Consider the following 17,485-nt stretch of genomic DNA (forward strand, 5'->3'; position numbering starts at 1 on the left):
AAATCCCCAAGAGTCCACGACAGAATACAAGAACAGTAACACTGGTTTATCTCAACTCATCTTAGCTCCCTCACAAACTTGCCAATAATGACCTTTCAAGAACTGCACCGTTGGTCCTCATCTGGGCAATCCCGTGGCTTAGAAAAACTGAATAAAGTGCTTCTTCGAAAAATAAAACAATGCGGGGAGGGGGGAGTAGTAACAAAAAAAAAGGCACACTGGTTTTTACTGTACTGAAGCAATAAATTCTCCAACTAACTTCATTAATGAGTATCAGCAAAGAATGAACACCAAAATACCGCTCAATCCAACTTTCATCGTGAATTCTTGAATTCACAGTAGGATCATTAAATGTGACGGTATCACTCTGCTATAAAAACTATTTCCAAAACAAAACAAACCTATCTACCCCCTTTCTTGATTTAAAAAAAAAAAAAAAGAAGGAAAATTTGAGGGTTTTTGATTTTTTCAACTTCACATACCGGTTTGCCTTTGCAAAAAAAAAAAAAATTGTTTAGTCTCAAAGTATAGCTGCAAGGTGGACCGGCTGCACGGGTCCCAGAGGGCCGCTCGCCTCCGACGGTCGCAGTTTCAGCCGGGCCGCGCCCGCGAGAAACAGCGGAGAGGCCCCAGCAGACGGGCGCCGCCGGACAGGTTTACCGTCCGCGTCGGCCCCGGGGAACCGCTCCCTCGCGCCCGCAGCACTTGTTCGCGGCGCGGACTCCACACCGCGGCCGCCCGCCCCAGGGGAGGAGTGAGTCCGCCCCAGCGGCGCCAACCCGGGGACCCGGGGCAAGGGTTCGGGGCCATCCGCGGCCGGGCGCGCCCCCCATCCGGAAAGCGGCGACGGCCCCCAAGTTGGGCTGCGGAGTGGGAGGCGCGCCGAGCCCCAAGCAGACAATGCGGGAGAAGGGTGATGCGCAGGGAGGAGGGGTCCGCAAAGCTGAGGTCCCCGCGCCGCCCGGCTACCCATCCGTGCCGCCCGCCCCTGAAGCCCCGCGCAGCCCCCGACCCTCCTCTGGGGCCCGCCCCACCGAGCGGCCGCAGGGGACGGGCCGCGCTCCGCACCCCGACCCCTCCTCAAATCACAAAACTTCCCCCAACTCCGCCAACTAAGTTGCGCTCTCACCGTGCGGCTCCCGGGGCTCCCCCGCGGGCCGAGCCGAGACAGCTCCTCACCTTCGCCGCGGAGAAAGACAATAGGCTGCCTCTCCCCCGGCGGCGGCAGCAGCGGCTGCGGCTAAAGCGGCGGCAACCGAGGCGAGCAGTGGGCACGGCGGTCTCGGCCGAGCCGAGGGCCTTCACCGCTGCTGCTCCGGCTCCGCGACAGCTCTGCACGTAGCCCCAGCCACCCCGCGCACCGGCTACAAGCCGCCCGGGGGTGGCCGGGGCACGCAAGAGGGCAGTAACGTCTGCGAGTCCTCCCGTGAGTACACGCGGAGCAAGGGCTGCGAGCTGGGATTGCACGGCAGAGCTGCCCATCCCGCTCCACGAGACCAATAGTAAGGCACCTGGGCGGGGCGCTCAGGTTGCTAAGGGAGGCTGAGGTTGACCGCCGGGGCTGCTCTGTGGCAAAGTGATCACAGCAGGGTGGCTGGCAGAGACTGCTCTGGGAAATGCCCACTCACGGTCTCCTCTCCGCCCTGTTTCCAGAAACTGCCCTTTCTCTGTGTGCTCGTGGTTACCTGAGCTGTAGCATTTAACCACACATCGTGAAATGATTTACTCCTCTATTTCCCCCACTTCAACTCAGGAAGTGGGGTTTAGTCTTCTGTGTCCACAGCCTAGGACAGTCTAAGGTATTAGGTATTAAATATAGGTATTAAACAAGTGTTGGATGGATGCACGGCGCTATGGCGGAATCACAATTGTGACAGTGCATTCCCGTGAACTTTTGGCTACTCTATCACCACAGTCGTTCCGTGTTCAAGCTGCAAAGGACCTCAGAAATCATCGGATTGCTTTGAGAAACAAAATGTGGTCCGTGTACCAACGGCGGCCGAGGAGAATATATTAGTTGGTACACGGAGAAACTTCTTTTTTCAAATAGTTAAGTGTTTTAGTGCTCATTAGGAGGGAAATGCCTATCACGTCAAATCATTGTTTCATTAATGTTACTTCTTAGGTCAAATAAAAAGTGGCAAAAAACAAGTGTATTTCAAGAAAAGTGTTAAGTGAAACTTGAGACACTTTATATGCAGTTCAAGAATGTAAAATACTAGTTGACAGTGATTGAAGTAAGAACAGTTGGTTAGGTAGGAGGAGAAGATTATTGGCTGGGAAGGAGGAGGAGGGAACCCTCTGTGGTGCTGATTCTGTATTTTGACCTGGGTGATGGATAACAAAAGTATGTACATCAATAAAAAATACATCCAGTGCACTTTAGATTAGTGCACTTTACACATTTTATTCATGTATTTTTAATGTCAATTTTTTAAAAATCTGGTATGGAATATACCCCCACAACCCCCCCCTCCAAAAAAAAATGCAAAGATGCAAATGACTGCCATTTGGGAAACACTGATCCAGGCAGGCTCACTAGCAGTGACCAAACACCTGAGAAAGGGTATTGTGAATACCTGATGTATGTGCCAGGAACTTCCATGGTCGAATAGCTCCAAATCTCAGAAATGCTCCTAACCTAGTGTTGAGCTCTGGTGCATAGATATATTTTCTTTTCTTTCTTTCCTTTTTTTTTTTTTTTTGAGGCAGAGTTTCACTCTTGTTGCCCAGGCTGGAGTGCAATGGCACGATATCAGCTCACTGCAACCTCCGCCTCCCAGGTTCAAGCGATTCTCCTGCCTCAGCTGCCCGAGTAGCTGGAATTACAGGCACATGCCACCAATTCCAGCTAATTTTTTGTATTTTTAGTAGAGACAGGGTTTCACCATGTTGGCCAGGCTGGTCTCGAACTCCTGACTTCAGGTGATCCACCCACCTCGGCCTCCCAAAGTGCTGGGATTACAGGCTTACAGGTGTGAGCCTCAGCACCCAACCCAGAATGGCTTTAAAAAAAAAAAAAAAAAAAAAGGCCAAGCATGCCCAGTTCTTCGTGTGAAATTATTTCTGTATCACCTCATCATGCTGCTCACCCTCTTCCACTGTTCTCTAATCTGTCCTTGTTGATATTTAAAAGCTGGCACAAGGCTGGGCGCAGTGGCTCACACCTGTAATCCCAGCACTTTGGGAGGCTGAGGAGGGTAGATCACTAGAGCCCAGGAGTTCGAGACCAGCCTGGGCTACAGGTGAAACCCCAGCTGTACTAAAAGATACAAAAATTAGCCAAACGTGGTAGCCCAAATCCCAGCTACTTGGGAGACCGATGTAGAAGGATCGCTTGAGCCCAGGAGGAGAGGTTGCATGAGCCAAATCAGCAGGGCAGCTGCAGAGTGGGGTGCAAGGTCCTCAACCCAGAGGTTCCCTAGGCCCCACTTGCCCCAGCTCATGAGAGCCTGGTTCTGAGCTCTGCCAGGACCGGGGCTCAGCACTGCCCATGAAAACAGGCGTGGCAGGGAAGAAAATCATAACCAAATATTTGTAGTCACCTCTCTCCTCCCTTCTGGAAAGGGAGGTTCCCAGGTTTGTGGGCTCTTTGCCTCCTGGACATTATTGTGTAGTGAAGGGAGAAAGGTTGAGATGCAGAGTTGGAGAAACTAAGAGAGGCCAAACTGGTCCATTTGAGGAAAGATGACTGATCCCAGAAGGGGAGGAGGGGACACCCTGGGGAAGCAGGGGGCTTCCCAGGTGGTCCAAGAAGGGGAGGGCAGGATATAGAAAGTCAGAGCATGGTTTTGAGTTTTGGAGACAACAAGAGAAAAGAGGGAGGGATTTGGACAACTATGGAGAGGACTGGGCTGTGGAGAGAAATGTTTAGAGATTTGGAAGATGGTGTGTCATGCGATGTACTGTGAAAACCCCTTCTTCATATCCCTAAAAGACCACCGCTGATGGTGATTCATGGTACAATTGATGATTGTATCATGATATAATTCAGTGCTTTTGCAGAGGGATTGGTGCCTTTTTAAAATAATAATGATGCTTTGGCTTGGCTCCATCTGAATTAGTAGAGACAGACATCTTGAGCAGGTTTTATCAGAGTTCCATTAGCTAAATATTGGGTTTCCTATTTTGTGGCTTGCTTTAAACCGCTTTGTAGGCCCTTCTGCACTGAAAGCCACTACAGAAATCACCTCTTTGGTCTGCAGCTCCATGTCCCCAAGCTCTGGGCTTTCCTGAATGAGTGGCCTCATTCAGAAGATAATACAGCATCCCTCATCCGAAAATCCAAAATCTGAAATGCTTCAAAATCCAAAACTGTTTGAGTGCCGACATGATGTTCGAAGGCCAGATTCAAAGGAAATGCTCATTGGAGCATTTTGGATTTCAGATTTTCGAATTCCAAAATCTGAAAAAAATCCAAAATCTGAAATACTTCTGTAATTTAACCTGTAATAGACATTGGGTCCTGACCTTCCAGCTGAGGCAGCAAGCAGTCAACAGAGGCTCACCATGCATCCCTCCTGCTCCTCACCCTCCCACTGGCTTGTGCCTCACCCCCCAGCCTCCCTTGCACCTGCTGGGAAGGGGACAGGATGCTCCTGCCCTGCCTTCTTGGATCTCAGGCTACTGTGATAATTGCAGGATTCCAGCCAGGGAAAATGCTACAGGTAGAAGTACTTGGTACTCTCCATAGAGAAGTTTCCAGCAATGGCACAGCAGCCCCGGGAAGTGTGCTGCCACACCCAGCTAATTTTAAAAACTTTCTGTAGAGGTGTGAATTCACTATGCTGCCAAGGCTGGTCTTGAATTCCTGGCTTCAAGTAATCCTCCCACCTTTGCTTGCCAAAGTGCTGGGATTACGGCATGAACTAGAGCTCCCAGCCGAGAGTTTAGTTTTGTTTGCTAGTGGTGTTCTTGGTATCTTTTCATATTTGAGGCTTTGGTGCTAGTGCTGAAGTATTACACTCACCATCCGAGGTTGGCAGGACTTTTGTTTCAGTATTGAACAGATGGAACTGTTTAGTTCTTCATCTTTGCAGGTATACCAAATGTGCCTACCAGGAGTCTGCTTTATAGCCATTGAAAAGCAAGAAGTAATATAGTAAAATTTTGCCTGGCTAGAGGCTTTGGAAGACAAGTATTTTGGCTTAATTCTATTAACTTGGAAGGATGAAGGTGAAAAAAAATTCAAAACTTTAATTTCCTGTTTATTGCCATTTGAAAATATAGCCAATGATTCCACTTTTCTTCTCCAGTAAGTTTGGACATTCTGATCTACTTGGTGTTTTATTATAGAACTCCTAGTGTGCCTGAGTCTTACATTGTGAAGATCCTTCTCTAAAACTTCACATGTAAGAGAATATAAATGATATTGGATAAGATCAGGCTGGATGAGAACTGATACCTGTAAATATGCGATTTAGACGAAATCTCTGATTGTTTTCTTATTTAACTCATAAAAATAAAACTCATTGGCTGGAAGGTGGGAGCAGGAAGGAGATTTATGTCTTTTAATTGCACGTCATTGTTTCATATAGAGACAGAACATATAGTATCCCTGGTTTTGGACCTACAGAAGGAAACACATTTTTCTACCTGCTGTATGCCAGAGGTTCTTGAACACCTGGAGGGATTACTGCAGCACAGATTGCTGAGCCCTACTCCAGAGTTTCTGATTCATCAGGTCCAGGGTGGGGCCTGAGAATGTGTATTTATAAGAAGTTCCCAGGTGCTGCTGGAGCTGCTAGTCCAGAGACTACATTTTTGAGAACTGCTCTCATATACTAACTGTAAGTTGCAGAGCTCTAGAAAAAAAGCTTAGTTTGGTGTGGGATAAGAAGCACACAGGTTATGGAGAAAATCATGAAAGATTCAACCCTTGATCCCAGCCTAGTGTGGATTTCAGGTAACAAGCAATACACAGTGACATAACAAATTCTTGGTTTTCATGACTGCAAGTGATAGCCAAGTATCAAGTGAGAAATTCAGTTTCATTTGCAAGGCTTAGAGAGTCCAGGTGATTCTAGAAAAATGGGCCTTGTATTTCTCTTAAACCAGTAAAGAGCTTTAAGTGGTTATTAAATTGAAAGCTTTGTGTTCTTACTTATTTTGTATTTTATTTTATTTCTTTTGAGATGGAGTCTTGCTCTGTCGCCCAGGCTGGAGTGCAGTGGCGTGAGCTTGGCTCACTGCAACCTCCATCTCCTGGGTTCCAGTGATTCTCCTGCCTCAGCCTCCCAAATAGCTGGGATTACAGGCACCCGCAACCACGCCTGGCTAGTTTTTGTATTTTTAGTAGAGGCAGGGTTTCTTCATGTTGGCCAGGCTGGTCTCGAACTCCTGACCTCAGGCAATCCACCCACCTCGGCCTCCCAAAGTGATGGCATTACAGGCGTGAGCCACCGCACCCGGCCCAAAAGCTTTGTGTTTTTAAAGATATTAGACATGTTTCTTGTTTTTAAAAGAAATCTTAACAATAATGGAGAATAAGACAAACATTTTTCCAAAAAAGAGAAATTGTTGTGATTATTTTGTCTTATTGGAATGTTGGATACTATAGTCGGCTTCATTAATCATCAAGCATGCTATGGATTTTCCATTTTTATAGGATCTATATCTCAGTTAAGGTAATACTGGTAATTCTTGTACTCCATTTGAAGATGAAAAATATAGGCCAAAATCACAGACTTTGCACAGAAGCTGCATAATGAAGACAGCTCTGGAGGAACACATAGATACACACACACAGACACACATATATATAAAGTATATACACATATATTTTTTAAAGTTTATTTTTTACAGTTTTAAAAGTTTTAAAGCAAAACCCAGCCCTTCTCCTCTCCCAGAGTGGGCGGCCCCTCCCCTTTCTCTGAGTGGGCGGGGACAGCGGTTGCATGGGCAGCTTTCCTTATGATGCCACAGGTCCCTCTGGACATGCTGCTGCCTGGCCACGCCTCCTTTCCCTTTCATCTTTCTCACTGACCAATGGGCTTGGAGCATTAAGGCCACGCCCCTATTCTGCGTTCCATTGGTGCCCTGGTTACGCCACCTGTGGCTCAGTTGCACAGCTGCCTGGTAGGTGACTGGAGGCATTGAGCAGTGCTCACTGGTATTTCGCTGATGTGGCCCCAACCCCGCCTCCCTCCCCACCCCGCGATGTCAGAAAAAACACAACAGGGGAAATTGGCCGCAGCCAAGAAAAAGGTAAAACACACCAGGTCACGGCCCCCAACCCAGCCACAGATCCCCTCCGATGACAAGACCGGTGCCAGAGTCCATACCACTCCTGAGGCATACCAGATGGGGCCCCCCAACCCCAGCCCTCTGGGCTCCCCCAACCAAAGCCTAGTCAGTCAGCCCCACCCCTTCAGCAAGCAGCCCAGTCCCTGCCCTTGCCAATCACCCCAGGGTGACTTTGGGCAGGTGACTCCTGGGGCTCCCTGCTCCATAATCAGCCCTCACCTCCTGCCACCCCAAGCCCAACCTCCCTGGGCTCTTTGGGCTTGCGTCTCCCAGGACCTGGGTCCCCCAGCCCCAGGCCCTGCCCTCACCAGTCATCCCTGGGTGGCTTTGGGCTGGTGACTCCCGGGGCTCCCTACTGCAGACTCTGCCCTCCCCTCCTGCTGCCCCAAGCTCGACCTCCCTAGGCTTCTTGGGCTGGCGTCTCTGAGGACCTGGGTCGAAACCGTGTGTTTCCCTCCCCCATCGTGGAGCAGCGACTCGGGCATCGCGCTGATGTGGTCCCCTCCCCTGGGAGGAGTGGAATGCAATGATGTCACAGTGCCCCTAGGAACTGTCATTACTGCTGCAAGACCAGCCTTTGATCTTACAACCCAGTCCCCTAAGTTTTCTCACCCCATTTCTGGTTCCTCTGGTTGCAGCACAAATTTCCAGCTGGAAGGGGAGTGGAGACTATGGGACCTAGGAGCAAGAGGTTTCAGGCTGCCTTACTCCCTCAACATAGACATTGACAGTGGGAAAAAGCCTACACTTCCCCTGTGAGCTCAAAATGTTCACAGTATCTCTGGGTGGCAATGGGAGAATGGGTTTGGTTTGGTTTTTTCCCAGGCTTCTACTTTCCAGAGAGACTTTAACATTTTTTTCTGAGTTCTCCACGGTTCTGGGACCAGACTGCCCTTCAGTCAGTGGCCTCTGAAGTGAGATTTGCTCATCTTCTGTGGAATAGATCTTGGGAAACTGAACTTGACAGCTTGAATCTTCCTCATATCGTCTCAACCTGGGGTACTTTGAGTGCCACAGGATAAATGTGGGACATCTTTCTGAAGCATCATTTTCCCTTGATTCTCTTGAGAAAATGCATTAATGTACTTAGGGATGACAGACACATAGGTTTCCAAGCGTATACCAGACTTCGCTCTGAAATGAGGCTTGGGTTGTCCTCTTTCTGATAAATTCCCAGATTTAATAGAAAAGCTGCCTTCTGCCATGAGGACACATTGATATGAAAGTGTGAGAGGTACTGGTACGCTTCTTCACGCTAGCAGACCTGTGAGGATGTATGACTCTAAACCACACGGCCTACAGTTCCTGCCTGCTTAATGTGTGCTTTTCTACCTCTGCCCCTGGTTTTGGTCCCTGGAAGCTGCTGATTCATGGCAAAACCCCAGAGCTTGGAGTCAGAGGACTGAGTTTAAGTTCCAGTATTGCCTTTTTTGATCTTTCTTTTTTTTTTTCTATCCATGATATCAATCCCTCTCAGTCACTAAGTGATTGTGACAACACCTTGTACAGTTGTTGGTGGCATTACATCAGATGGTATATAAGGGTATTTTGTCAAAACTGTAAAGGAGGATGTGGCTGTAGGGGCTGATCATTCTCATGAGTGTTACCGCTCTTCTTTCCCACAGTTAAAAGCATATTGGCAGAGGAAGAGCCCTGGCATTCCAGCAGGAGCTAACAGGAAAAAGAAAATCAATGGCAGTAGCCCTGACACAGCCACTTCTGGTGGTTACCACTCACCTGGGGATGTGAGTCTCGGCGGGCCAGGGTCCTGGCGACAGGGGGCCCAAGGGGCAGTAGAGGGTAATTGTTAAGATTGTAGATGGACTGTTGGGTACTGGTTAAGAATTCTGGATTTGAATCCTGCCTCTCCATCTGCTAAGAATTGATTAGGGATTGATTAGCATATGATTTAGGGCAAGTTGCTTGAGGTCTTTGGGCCTCTCTTTTCACATCTGTATAATAGAGGTGGTATTTTTTGACTTCCATTTGTGAAGTTTAAATGAGATTCGTTATTGTTGCTTTTATGTGAATCCTTAGTACATGGCCTGCTGCAAACACCCAGGACACCGAGGAAATGGTCGTTGCTGTTTGATTTTCCTCATCCCCAGTCTCAAGGGGAAGCCAGGCCAATGAGAAGAGCCACTTGCCATCAGGCTGTCCCTTTAGGAGTCACTGAAAGGGCCCCAGGGTGGGATGGTGGGGAGATAAGAACCACGAGAGAAGTTGGCACAAAGGAGTTATGGGAAAAAGGGTCCAAGATAGGCAGAAAAGAAGCTTTTGCCAGTTGATGGGGGAAGAAAGGAAGTCAGAGGGCTTAGACAGTGAGGGGGGACAGAACATCTCCATGTGCACTCTCATCTCTTGCAGTCAGCAACAGGTATCTACGGGGAGGGCCGTGCATCCTCTACTACCCTGGAGGATCTGGAGGTAAGAGGCCCTGGGCTGAGGTGCAGTGACCCTGCAGGCCAGCCCTCCAACCTCCTCCCACAGCAGGGGCTTGTTGCCCCTCTGCCAGCTGAGGCAGCCCACACACCCCCACCAGCCCTAATGATTATTCTCTCTACCCCTCCCCACAATCTTCCTCCAACTCCTTCTCTCTGCATGCACCTCAGAGCCAGTACCAAGAACTAGCAGTGGCCCTGGATTCAAGCTCCGCAATAATCAGTCAACTCACTGAAAACATCAATTCACTGGTAAGAGTCCAGTGGGGTCCCCTGATTACAGCTGGTCAATCCTGGACTCCAGTTTCCTCTTGGGGCCCTGAAGAAAGGGGCTAGGGGCCCCTGATGCCAAGGGCAAATGGGGAGCTGGGCACCCAGGTCTCACCTGGAGGGACCCCAGAGCACAGAACATGCAGCATGGCTCTTCTGCACTGCCCTCTTTGCTGACTCTCTCTTCTCCAGACACCCCTGCTCTAGTCCTTGCCACACATGCCCTGGGGTTGTCACCTCTCTGGGAAGCACTAGCCTGACTGGTTGTCAGGGGTCCATATTTCTGCCCTGCCTCAGTCCCTAATTTGCTTTTTGAGTCTGGAGAAGCCATCTCTCCTCTTTATGCTCGTGTTTCTGGAGGAGGTAGAGAGTATCAAAGGTCTCGGTTAGCTCTGAAAGTCAGAGATTTAAAGGCCCCTAGAATGGAAACCTCAGGGCCAAGGGCTCCTGTCTGTCCTTTGCTGTTTTATATCTCTGCTATGAAGAACTGTACCTGGCCTGTACATGCTCAGTAAATGTTTGTTGAATGAATGCACGTTTCTAAATCACAAACTGGCAGAAGGGGGGTGGGCCCTTCTCAAACTCTGTCTCTAGAGGTTCACCAGCCCCTCCCTCCAGGGCCCTTTTCCCCCTTTGCTTTGGGCAGGTTCGCACATCTAAGGAGGAGAAGAAGCATGAGATACATCTGGTACAGAAGCTTGGGAGGAGCTTGTTCAAACTCAAAAACCAGACGGGTAAGATGGGGCTGGCATGACCTGGCAGCTGGACTGGCATTAGAGGGCTGTGGGGGTGACTTAGAATGCCCCAGGGAGGTGGGTGGATGGAAGGACTTTGAGGCAGAGGGAAAGAGGTCTGTGCCAGGGGAGGACAAGTCTTGTCATCTCCATGAGCCTCAGTGTCCCCATCAGTAAAGAGGGAGGAGTGCCCATTGTCAGCCACCCACAGTGCTCTCTATCTGAAAGTGACTTGGAAGACTGGCTACCATCCAGGTGTGAGGAGTCATTAGCAGTGAGGCCAAGTTTGGGAAGCCTGAGAGGAGGAGCTGTGCACCGAAGGGAGGATTTTTTTTTTTTTTTTTTGAGAATCCAGAGGCCCTTATTGTCTGCTTCCTTTCTCAGCTGAACCCCTGGCCCCAGAGCCCCCAGCAGGGCCATCTAAGGTAGAGCAGCTACAAGATGAGACCAACCACCTAAGGAAGGAGCTAGAGAGTGTGGGAAGACAGCTCCAGGCTGAGGTGGAAAACAATCAGATGTTGAGTCTCCTGAACAGGAGACAGGAGGAGAGGCTACGTGAACAGGAGGAGAGGCTACGTGAACAGGAGGAGAGGCTACGTGAACAGGAGGAGAGGCTGTGTGAACAGGAGGAGAGGCTACGTGAACAGGAGGAGAGGCTACGTGAACAGGAGGAGAGGCTGTGTGAACAGGAGGAGAGGCTACGTGAACATGAGGAGAGGCTGTGTGAACAGGAGGAGAGGCTGTGTGAACAGGAGGAGAGGCTACGTGAACAGGAGGAGAGGCTACATGAACAGGAGGAGAGGCTGTGTGAACAGGAGGAGAGGCTACGTGAACAGGAGGAGAGGCTGTGTGAACAGGAGGAGAGGCTACGTGAACAGGAGGAGAGGCTGTGTGAACAGGAGGAGAGGCTACGTGAACAGGAGGAGAGGCTGTGTGAACAGGAGAAGCTGCCAGGGCAGGAGAGGCTGCTGGAAGAGGTGGAGAAGCTGTTAGAACAGGAGAGGCGGCAGGAGGAGCAGGAGAGGCTGCTGGAGAGGGAGAGGCTGCTGGAAGAGGTGGAGAAGCTGTTAGAACAGGAGAGGCGGCAGGAGGAGCAGGAGAGGCTGCTGGAGAGGGGGAGAGGGAGAGGCTGCTGGACGAGGTGGAGGAGCTCCTGGACGAGGTGGAGGAGCTCCTGGAGCAGGAGAGGCTTCGGCAACAGGATGAGAGGCTGTGGCAGCAGGAGACTCTGCAGGAGCTGGAGAGGCTGCGGGAGCTGGAGAGGATGCTGGAGCTGGGGTGGGAAGCCCTGTACGAGCAGCGGGCCGAGCCACGCAGCGGCTTCGAGGAGCTGGTGCGTTGCCCCACCTGGGGAGGCTGCCCTCTTCCCTAGCCCTCAAGGCCTTTGTTTCCCCACCTGTAAAATGGGGCATTGTAGCCTTCACATGAAATGGTACTTCTAAAGGCATCTGTGAGCCAGAGCCCTGCTCTGATGGCTGTGGGAGAGAGGGGATATTTTTCTAACCTGCCTCCACCCTTCCCGGTGCCATGGGAGGCAGACACTAAGTTCTGGGGTCTCCAGTTTTAGTGGGTGGCCACTGATTGCTTCTCTCTGTCCAGAACAACGAGAACAAGAGCACACTGCAGTTGGAGCAGCAAGTAAAGGAGCTGAAGAAGTCGGGTGAGCTGAAAGAGACTGTAACCTCCGACCCATCCAAGAAGATGTGGGAGGCGGGCACCAGCCTCTGGGGAGGGGAGGTACCAGGCCACAGGCAGCTGCAGCCTGGGGACAGGTGACCCCAGCACCCTCCGGGGCAGTCCTATGACTGTTTCTTGCTTCCTGCCCTCTGACTTTTAGAGGTGGGTAGCCCTGGGGTCCTCCCAGGTCTGGACATCATCATCCCAGCTAGAGGCATGGAGCCCCCCAATCACAGAGCAGAGGAAGAGACAGTGGTATAAGAGGCTCCTTATGTCGGGTGTGGTGGCTCACGCCTGCAATCCCAGCACTTTGGGAGGCTGAGGCAGGACAATCACTTGAGGTCAGGAGTTTGAGACCAACATGGCCAACATGGTGAAAGCTCATCTCTACTAAAATTAAAAAAAATAATAATAATTAGCCGGGCCTGGTGGTGCATGCCTGTAATCCCAGCTACTCAGGAGGCTGAGACACGAGAATCACTTGAGCCCGGGAGGTGAAGGTTGCAGTGAGCTGAGATTGCACCACTGCACTGCAGCCTGGGACACAGAGTGACACTCTCTCAAAACAAAACAAAACAGACAAACAAAAAAGACTCCTTAGATTCAAACTGGATTCCGGCCTCGGTTCCACTGGTCATAATTCAACTACTTTGCATCTCTAAGTCTCTGTTTCTTTAACTTCAAAAGGAAGTTAGCCTTTTCCTTGCAGAGGTGCTGAGGATTAAATGAGATAATACGTGGAAACATTAGGCATGTAGCACACTTAGCAGATGGTGGTTGGCTCCGCCTGCTTTTCCACCAGTCTGTGGCCTACAGTTTAAATGCTGGGAAAAAGGACGTGAGATTTGATGCTAGGGAAGGAGGCATGGGGTTCTAGGCAAGGGAGACAGTCTCTTAGGCCTGGAGCAAGGGGCCAGGGGCCTGGGCAGGCCACAGAGCCCCACAGTGCCCTCGCTACCCTATTAATGGGCCAGGAATCTGGAAGCCAGCCACCACATGTCCTCATGAGGTGGAGCTGAAGAGCCAAGAGGCTCCGAGTCTGCAGCAGCAGCCAGACCAGTAGCTGGAGCCCCAGTCCCACAAGGAGCTTGGATGTGCGGACAAGCAGGGTGGTGAGTAGAGCCCTCAGGCGGGGTGGGCAGGCAGGAGCAGGGGAGGCTCGCACTGTGCCCAGATTCCCACCCCCTCCCTCTCTCTGAAGATCTTAGTGAGCTGAGCCTCACTGATAGCATGGAGGCTGCACCGGGACAGGACAGGGAGGGTTCTCCCCCATGACAACCCCACTGCACAGCAGATCCAGCAGCTGCTTCCTCTAATGCAGGACTCCCCAGGAGCACCCAGGCTTGGGTGGAGAAGCTGTTGGTACAGGAGAGGCGGCAGGAGGAGCAGGAGAGGCTGCATGCCATTCTTTTCGGGCTGCCGAGAACAGGGAGCTAAACATCACCATCATCTAAGAGCGGGTCAAGGAATTAAAAAAAAACAACAAAACGTTTAAGGGGTTAATATCCTACACAATTCATTTACTTCATTTGAATGTTAGAGCCACTTATGTTTATTTGTGTTTCTAATTTATAGTTTAAATTTATTTGTGTTTCTAATTTATAGTTTAAATTTATTTGTTTCTAATTTATAGTTTAAATTTATTTGTGTTTCTAATTTATAGTTTAAATTTATTTGTGTTTCTAATTTATAGTTTAAATTTATTTGTAAAAAGTCAAATGACAGTGGGTCTTTCTCTCATGTTCACTCTGGCATCTTTTAGCATTTTTTTAATTTGATAATTATAGGACGTTAGCATGCATATCGAGTTTGCCCTTATGTGGTGGGAGTTCAAACACACAAAGACCCACTGTATGCACACAACTGTTCTTGCTGGTTTGGGATAGGCTGCCATGCTTTTTGAATGTTAGTACAGCATGTATATTCATTACGGAATTCAGATAAAATTTCCTTATGTTCTGCTATTATGTTTGATCGAATCCTAATCACAGTGAGCTCTTCATTAGCTCAATATGCGGTTTGCCCTCAAGTGCGCGGTCTATTACTTTGTAATATGCCACTGTGAGTACTGACATTTACAGTTGTTTAAAGGTGGAGCACTGGAAACAGCCTTTCCCCCTTTTTCTGTGTATTGGGGATGGGAGTAATAACATTTTGGGGAGGTTTTTAAATCTCCCAGAAGAGGAAAGTGGCCTGCTCTGGCAGGTGTGTGCAGGATAGAATATGTTTCATTTGTTCCGGTGCCAAGAATGAGCGCTGTACTATGGTAGTTCCCTTAGGATTTGTATGTGCTCTGGGCTCATGAAGATACTGCCTCATGAGCTGTGGCAGTTGTACTCTTTTTTGATGACCTGAAAAGGGATTATTTCTGAGGAATGAAAGGCTCCCATCATGACTGTGGATGTGGAAAACCTTTTCTAGCTGAGAGCATTTATATCTACAATACATTTTAAAGTCAGAGTTCATGTTCCCTGTTTTAATCACATGACTACATGTCCCAGTACACAAAAGGGCACTGGTTGGCATTCTCCTTAATGTGTTTAGTAAAGATCAGAAGAAATCCTTTAAGAGTTTAAATGCCCCTGGAACAGGCATATACAGGCTCTAGTCAAGAATGAATTCGAGTGAAGGAAAGCTGTGGGACACCTGGCATTCCTCTATGTTCATGGAGCTTATTTGAGGCTAGAAGATGGATTTTACCATCTAGACCTCTCTGGCTAATAGCTAGTCTTCAACCATCTGACATAGGAATTTACTTCTTTTCCTTGAATGGAGAACACTTTAAAAATAATAACAATTATTATAAACTAATATATGTGAGAGTACTTAGTTGAAACAAAAAGGAATTTTAGTAGACAGTATTATACTACATTTGAAAATCAAGGAGCAGTTTATGCAACTTAAAATGTTTACAAACGGCAGCGCAATCTACTGTTTGTGACTGTCAAAGTGTCATGAGGAAAGTGTCTATACAATCACAGACTTATATTTCCTCACAAAATTCTTTACGTAGAGTGAAATATGTTTTTATACCTCTCAGTTTCAGTTAGAGGCATATTTTGTGTAATATTTATGGCTTAAAATGGACTAAAGGTCCTGTTCTTGCCTTTTCTGAACTTGCCGCTTTTGCATTCTTTGAGTTCAGTTTAAAGACACTTACTTTAACTCCATTTTAAACCCTCGGGCTAGAAATCGTACCACTGTTAATTAGCCACATTATTTGGTCTAACAGTTTATCATTCTGAAACTGAGCTTATCTAATACATTGATAAATTATTTCAAAGGTATTTTTATAGTTCAAATCGCTTCACTTTTACCCTGACACGTATAAATGACTAGGAATGACCTTCAGATAGCGTTTAGCAACTGTAACCAATCTGACAATAATGTGTTCATCAGGTACCTGTGGATTAAATCACATACTGGCATATTTAAGCTGAATGTCAGTCTGAAAAATAAATGTACTATATTAACTCAAATACCACTCTCTGTGTAGGTATTTTGTCATATGTTTAAGAAAAAGCTAAAGAGAATGGAAATCCTATGACAATAACTCAAGTCTTTCTTCAAAGTGCATGCAGTCTCTTGCAGTACCTCATTCAGCCAAGTATTTGTTCTCTTCCTCATTCAGTATAAGGCAGCCTTTAATTTGCTTAGAAGGCAATATTAGAAGGTTAGAGTTCAGCAGAAAGATAGAATTTTAAAATGTGAGTTCGACTGAATAAATTTGAATTTCTGTAGGAAGTAAAGAATGAAAATACCTATTTAAAGACTGCAATATATGATAATTATTTTTAAAGTAATAGATTAAACCTGATAGTTTTTCCTGAAATGAAAAACAATCAGTTCTAAAACCAAAGCTGATTTTTAGAAAATGTGAAAATGTAAATCAACCCTATCCAAAATAGATTCCCTAAAACTTTATCTTACAGTCACTTTCAAATAACTATTCAAAAATGTAACTGTTATATTAACGTCTTAAAATAATTTAAAACATTTTAAAATACGAATACTGTAGCTTAAAACAAAGAATCTAGGGGAAGGAAAAGTAGAGAAAGAAATGCCAATTCCAGTCCAAAGCTGTATTTGCCAAGTTTTCTTAGAACGACTTTTACCGATTTATGAATTCTTATACACAGAATGCATGATGGAAATACTGATTTTTGTCTAAAGTGGCATTATTGACTGCTTCTGTGATGCTACTGTAATGTAATAGATTATTAGATTATTTCAAGGTGCTGTTTTGCCTAAAAATTTTGTGTGTCTTGAAAACTATAGTATTAAAGGTATTGAGACTGTGCAAATGCTGGGCATGCTTGGCATGAGATAATCGGTTTTTATTCTTACAAAATTGTAACCATATAAGTGTGTTTATTAAAAGAACACAAACTAAAAAATTACAGGAATTAAAGTTGTGGGATGAAAAAGTTACGGGATAAAAAATACTGTGGAAAAGTTGTGGCAAAAAAAGATGTGGGAAAAAAGTAAAAAAAAAAAGTTTTATGAAAAGTTTTTTTAAAAAGTTCTGAAAAAGAAGTTACGGGATTTAAAAAAACATCATGGGATAAAAATAAAAATAAATAAAAGCAGGCCCCTGTCAGCATAAGCCTGGAGAAGTGGGTCTGGAGTCTTCACCCCCACCATGTCCCTACAACCCCTCCCCAGTCAGCCCTTTACCATTAGGGTAGCAAGACAAGACCCTTGTCTAATGGAGGGAGACAAACAGACCCTTTACCACCTTGACCAAGGCTGAGTCCTTACATTTCTGGATGATGATGTTATTTAAGAGCCAGAGGTTGGTGGAGTTGGTTTGTTTGGAGGAGGTCTGACGGCCTTCTTACTCTCACCAAAGCAACTTTTCCCTCAGGGGGGCTCCCATCTTCTTACTCAGAGAGGCAGCTGAGGCGGGACAGTGGAGTTAACTGTAGACCAGGCCAGGGCACAGGCTGCTGGGGGTGGCCCCCCTTCCCCCGTGTACATACTGTAGCTGTGTAACATTCTGTATCGTACCTAGCGGAGGTTGCAGCTGGCATATGAGGAAGAGGTTCTTATAATTATTCACGGCTGGGAAACTTATTCATTGTTAGCATAGGAGCGATGATGGGGGTGGGGATGGCG

The 17,485-nt window shown here is 47.6% G+C and overlaps 3 pseudogenes across 5 annotated transcripts in view; 1 reads left to right on the top strand and 2 right to left on the bottom strand.

The window, feature by feature from the left end:
- LOC101929479 (golgin A2 pseudogene) overlaps positions 1–1,446 on the bottom strand; it is a 29,789-nt pseudogene extending 28,343 nt beyond the window's left edge. The window contains exon 1 of one of the 2 annotated variants that reach the window (NR_158179.1): positions 1,130–1,432. The product of NR_158179.1 is annotated as a golgin A2 pseudogene, transcript variant 1 (transcript). Of the gene's footprint in view, positions 1–1,129 lie in introns of both variants that reach the window. The other variant, NR_160936.1, reaches the window with a different exon arrangement.
- LOC727751 (golgin A2 pseudogene) overlaps positions 1–1,459 on the bottom strand; it is a 31,360-nt pseudogene extending 29,901 nt beyond the window's left edge. Inside the window, 1 exon segment of one of the 2 annotated variants that reach the window (NR_102748.1) lies at positions 1,180–1,459. The product of NR_102748.1 is annotated as a golgin A2 pseudogene, transcript variant 2 (transcript). 2 annotated transcript variants of the gene reach the window in all.
- A 5,542-nt stretch (positions 1,460–7,001) lies between these two features.
- On the top strand, positions 7,002–13,838 carry GOLGA6L3P (golgin A6 family like 3, pseudogene; annotated as a pseudogene). The gene is made up of 9 exons (NR_171665.1): positions 7,002–7,206; positions 8,871–8,990; positions 9,613–9,672; positions 9,858–9,938; positions 10,603–10,690; positions 11,075–12,023; positions 12,290–12,350; positions 13,377–13,479; positions 13,689–13,838. The product of NR_171665.1 is annotated as a golgin A6 family like 3, pseudogene (transcript).
- The last annotated feature ends 3,647 nt before the right edge of the window (positions 13,839–17,485 follow it).

The sequence above is a fragment of the Homo sapiens genome, chromosome 15 (genome assembly GCF_000001405.40).
Source record: "Homo sapiens chromosome 15, GRCh38.p14 Primary Assembly".
Classification (NCBI taxonomy): domain Eukaryota; kingdom Metazoa; phylum Chordata; class Mammalia; order Primates; family Hominidae; genus Homo; species Homo sapiens.